Source organism: Homo sapiens, chromosome 2, assembly GCF_000001405.40.
Source record: "Homo sapiens chromosome 2, GRCh38.p14 Primary Assembly".
In the NCBI taxonomy this organism is placed as follows: Eukaryota; Metazoa; Chordata; class Mammalia; order Primates; family Hominidae; genus Homo; species Homo sapiens.
The window spans coordinates 235156453-235162039 of record NC_000002.12 but is presented as its reverse complement, the minus strand read 5'-3'; the positions used below and the strand labels follow the sequence as shown (position 1 = coordinate 235162039).

General features: G+C 48.1%; 1 annotated feature.

The window, feature by feature from the left end:
- Window positions 3794–4376: an enhancer, noted in NCBI's record as "OCT4-NANOG hESC enhancer chr2:236066308-236066890 (GRCh37/hg19 assembly coordinates)". NCBI's record gives its function as "activates a minimal SCP1, AML or CMV promoter by ChIP-STARR-seq in naive H9 embryonic stem cells {active_cell/tissue: H9 hESC(naive)}" and the evidence as "EXISTENCE:reporter gene assay evidence [ECO:0000049][PMID:30033119]".

Genomic DNA, 5587 nt, shown 5'->3' with positions numbered 1-5587 from the left:
GTCCAATTATTTGTTCAAAATGCCAAGAACCTAGACTACTCTCCACCAGTAACAACTTCTCATGGGGACCCAGGCTGGGTAGGCAGCCAGCTCAGAATGAACTCAGGACGTGGTGGGTATGTTGGTTCTGACACTGCTAAGGAGATCATGGGCCCCTTTTCCCGGGTCAGTCTGGTTTCCACCATTGTCCACCACGTGGTAGATTCTCCCCTCGGCCACATTCCTTCATGTCACCTGGCGTTCTCACCTTTGCAAGGTGACGTCATAGTTCAGCACATCAAGAGGTAGAGTCAGTAGCTTTCTGCTACGTTCAGAGCTGTGCCAAGCACGGGATATAGACATCATAACCAAGCCAGATAGGAGAAGAGTTGGAGGAAGGAGCATTCCAGGCATAGGAGACATCAGTGAGAGGGCAGAAGTGAGAAGGAACTTAGCAAAAGATGCAGTGGGAAAAGCAAGAATGCAACTGAAGCATATTGAAGGGTTGTATGTGGGGGTGATGTGAGTCAGCCTGGGTTGTATTTGCCCCTGTGACTCCTGCACCAAGTGTGCCAGAGAGGAGACTGGAGTGGAAGCCCACACTGAGGAGGCCATTCCTACAGTCCGGGTGAGCGAGTGGTGCCTTGGAATAGACTGGTGTCAGCAGAGATGGGGAGAACGGAGAGATACCACATCTGTTGTGGAGGGAGGGCCTCCAGGGACAGGGTGATGAAGTGAACAAGAACCCACAGGGAAGCAGCACTGGGTGGTTCCATGGGTGTGGTGGGGAGGTCCCCGAGCCTTGGAGGTCACTGGGTTGATGTCCAGGTTCCCAGCTTGAGCAAACAATTGTGGGATGGTGCAATTTCCTGAGGAGCAGGGTGGGATATAGGAAAGAGAACTGTTGGTTTTGCCATCCCAAGCTCGAGGTGCCTATGAAACATCCAAGTGGAATATCAAATAGTCAATTGGATATATGATCTTGGAACTCAGAGAAAAGGAATGGACCAGAGGTATAAATTCGGAAGTCATTAACATACAACACCAAGTGCAAGTTCTCAAAATTAACTTATTTGCATGGTTTGAATTCCTGCTCTTTCATATGTAGTAACCCAGGCTGCATCAGTCAAGTCCCAGCAGGAGGCAAATCGCACGCTTAAATTAAATTAAATTAAATTAAAATAATAAATGTGGCCGACTGAATAATGACCTCCAAACATATCAGGTCTTAATCCCTGGTATCTGTAAATGTTCCTTTATATGGCAAAGACGGCCAATGCAATTAAGGATTTTGAGATGGGGAGATTACCGTAGATTATCCTGGTGGGTTCTAAATGCAATCACAAGTGTCCTTATAGGAGGAGGGAGGCAGGAGATTTGACCGCAGACAGAAGGGGGGGTGATGTGATCCTGGAGGAGACTGGAGTGACGTGGCCGTGAGCCAAGGAATGGCATCCAGACACTGGAGGAGGTGAGAGACAGATTCTTCCCAAGAGCCTCCGGAGGGAGAGCAGCCCTGCCCACACCTTGGGTGCAGCCCAGTGACACTGATTTTGGACTTCTGACCTCCAGAACTGTAAAATAATACATTGTTTTTAAAGTACTAAATTTGGAGCCCTAATAGGAAACATATGCATCGGAGGACCTACTTACAAAGGTTTGGGCAGAGTGTAGGGAAAAGACAAGATTCACAGCAGTACCCTGGGACTGCTCACAGCATTGCTGGTCACTGTGGGATGAGGGGAGGGGGCAGCTACCAAAACCTGGAAAAACAGAAGGCAGATGAGGAGGGCGAGAAGAGCAGCAGCCTTCAGTGAAGGGCCATAGCTTCTACGGGGACCGGCAGGAAGGATGCCAAGGAGATAGAGACCCCAGCCTCCCCTACTCTCATGCTGGGCAATCCCCTTGGCCAAATCTCCAAGCTCAAGGGCCAGGTTGCTGCAGTTGTGCAGGCAGCCTCCTGGGGCTCAGAGCAGAGAGAGGATCTGTTTGTCTGCCCAAGCCTCTGAGGTTTCAAAATGAGAATAGTACCAACTTTGAAGGGTGGTGGTATTAAATGGATCAACATGTGCAGTGCCCCTGATAGATAGCAGGTGCTCAACAAATGTCATCTTGAATCATAAATCCCATGAAGATGTTTGTAGCTCAACGAAGACGGTGAATTGGGGGATACACGACAAAGGCCGTGAGAAGCTACCTTTCTAGAAATGTGAAGCATTTCTATGAGAGGTTTTATTTTAAAATCATTGGAAAATATCAGTCCATAAAGAAATGGCAATCCATGCATTTCCAGTTATTTATATCTGGGCTTTTTAGAAAAGAATTTAGTTACTTGTCTTTGTAAAATTTAACAAGCTTACTATGCTTCCAAGAGGCCTGTGAAACAACAGGTGTGTAGCTGATTCGGCTGTGCCTCGATGACACCTTTTGTTCTGCCACACTCTCTTTTCTTCTCCTGGTTGCATCCACACTTAAACTTGGACTCAACACCAGCCTGCAGGCATATGCCACTTTCACCTCTATTTTCTATATTACCTTTATTTTCTGTGATAATGCAGCCACCTCAGCACATTGTAAATGTGGTGACATCACTAAAGACACAGGAATTACGGGACTGTTCACGTAATGCACCATGGGGCCTCTTGCCATCTGGCTGACTTAATTCCCCTCACTGCCTGCCCTCCACTCTCCACTTGGGCCTTTGGTGTCCTCACATTCCAACCATTTCCAAAACTGGATGACCATGTGGCTGGGCACAGCCCTCCAGAGAGTGTTAATGATAGTGTTGTGCAGCTCACTTGGAAGAACTGGTCATGCACTTTTCTTCCCAGCTCTGCCATTCAGGGAATGTCTACGGGTAGCTTGAAATCAGTCGTGGTGGGAGTGTTTACACAAGGGAAATTGGCAGACACCACAAGTCATGGTGTTTTTCTCTTCAGGAGAGCCCGTTGCAAATCACTGGCTGGTACACCTTGGGAGTGTGGTACTGCCTTCAATGCCTCCTGGTCCACTGTAAGAGCTGACCCTGCCCTGCTCAAGGGTGGCCTGCCTGCCCAAGTGCCCCTGGGATAATACTGGAGAACAAAACACTCTCAGGCTCATTACCTGCTCAAGACTCATCCTCCACCAAGGCTTTGCATCTATCCCCTCCTGCCTTCCCAGGGAACTCATCCTGTGCTAAAGCCTGGGGGTCTTAGCAAAATCCCACTGTGGGGAGGGGGGCCTGTCCTGCCATTGTTTCCCCATGAAACAGCTCCTCTGCTCCTCAGAAGGTGGTGCAAACACATCATTGTATATTAACATGCATAACCCTTGTGCCAAGGGGTGCAATTATTTAATAGGTCAAATGAAGTCAGAATCCAAGCACTGTCCATTGATTTTGCTCAGACTGATGCACACCCAAATCCAGATGCCATGTGGGATGCATAACCATCTTCACATGCAAGGGGCAGCTTGCTGCAGGGATGCCCCTGCTGGCTAAGCCAGCCAGTGAAGGAACCATATGAATAGGTGGCAGAAAGGCAAGAAATGGGGTGGTCAAAAGGTTTCCTAAAATACAGACTCTGAATTGTGTATTTGTGTGTGTGTGTGTGTGTGTGTGTGTGTTAGTGTTGGTGAGGTAACACATTTGTTTCTTCCCTTACGTGTCTCCTGGTAGATAGCTGCTTCTTGGAGTGCTGTGTTGAAAAGCATCAGAGGGGAAGGCACGGAACTGGCAGGGATGAGGAGCAGCAGGCGGACCACACGTCCTGAAGCAAGAGACAGAGATGGGACTGTGGGGAAGTCAGTTCTCACCACCTGACACCCGCAGGCCCCCCTACAGGGATGCAGTGGGTTGTGTTACACGCACAACTGTTGACTTTCATTTTGGCCACTGTTGAGGAATTTACAAATTGAACCAATTTGGAGACTTAAATTTGTTGGCTGGATTTAACCCCAAAACTAGGTTTTCTCTAATCAGTGGAAAGAGGTCTTCTAGCTCTTTACTTGAAAGTTTAAAATAGAGAGTTTATGTAAGACAATAAGACCTTCCAGAGACTCACTTGGAATCTTTTCACCAATTACTCTCCTGCTGAGGAGCTTCTATGCTAGTCTCAGGTAAGTCCATTCCCAGCAGCCAGGGAGGCCAGCTCTTGCTTTCTTTTGTAAAAGTGCACACAGATAGCTCTTGACCCAGGCACTCCAGAGATGTAATAACAACATGCAGAGATCTGTATGTTAGAATCAAGGCCCAGTTTCGCTCTGGGGGAAAAACTCAAAACAATTCTCACAGGCGTTCATTTTAGGGCGCTTCAGAAGGCTCCATGACCCAAAATCAGGACACCTCCTGGCAACAGTGCAGAGTTGAGATAGGGGTGTGGGATGTCACAGCCAAGGCCTCGCCACTCAGCCCCAAAGGGCTGTACAGGAAAAAGAGGAGCTGTTGAGCACAAACTTGTCAGAAAATTCATGAATCTCAGGCCTTTGCTTCCCTCCAGGAGGCATTCATGTACTGGCTTTACCGGCTCACAGGAGCTAATGTGACTTTTTTGGGAATTTTGCAAAGCAATTGTTAAACACAACCAATATTAAAAATTAAAGTATACAAACTTGGAAATAAAATTATATTTAAAACAAAGTAATAAAACTCAAAACACAACACTTCTTGCTTATTTTACATTATCAGTGGCCGTGAGACTATTTCCATCTGTGTGCCTGTGTGGTGGAAATCCTAATCCCCGGCAACTAGTGTGCACTTCTTCCCAACGTTGCATTGACTGATGTCATGTTTGTAGCTTGAAACTGGCCACAGAAATAGGCAAATGCTGATCAGAGCTTTTTCTCTCTTCAAGAAGCTTGTTGGTTAACATGCACCAGCAAACCACTGCTTTTGACTGCACACGCACACTTTTTATAACACAGAGAGGAAAGAGCACATGGACAGAATGATATGGTCCTGGCAGCCTGGGAGAGTGAGGTGGGGACGAGTGAAGGGAAGATGCAGAAGACAAAAACAGGAGAAGTTTATGCATGAGAAAAGACAAACACACACACACACACACACACACACTCACACATATGCCCCACTCCCATCGCTGGCTGGGGAAGCCCTTTGAAATGGCTGGCTGGCACTGGGTGCTCTCTCATTTCTTGGATCACACATGCACACTGAGTTGCCTCTGGGCTACTCTGTTCTTCCTGGCCACAGGGGGAGGAGAGGCATAGAGACAGCTGATGGCCTCCCAGGAAGTAGCCATCACAGAAGGTTCTTTCTCCTCCAAATTCCCAGACTTCCATGCACAACCTGGCAGACACTCCACCAGGCAGTGCGGACCTAGGATAGTGGGAACAGGGGCCAAAGAGGGGAAGTGTGAGCCACAGCAGGAGCAGGTGTGCCCTGCCCATCTGCACCCAGGGAAGGCTTTCCAGGTGGGGCCCCGGAGTATGGGGACCAGCCCACATGCTGATGACCACTGTTAGCTGCTAATGTGATACATCAGTTGGAGCAGAAAGCAGCGCGAGAAGCAATCCTTTGGCATGAAGTGGGACAGGGCTTTGAGCTCAATAGGAATCTGCTTCAAATTCTGACCTTTAAGGAACAGGGGAGAGCAGAGCCCTGAAACAGAAT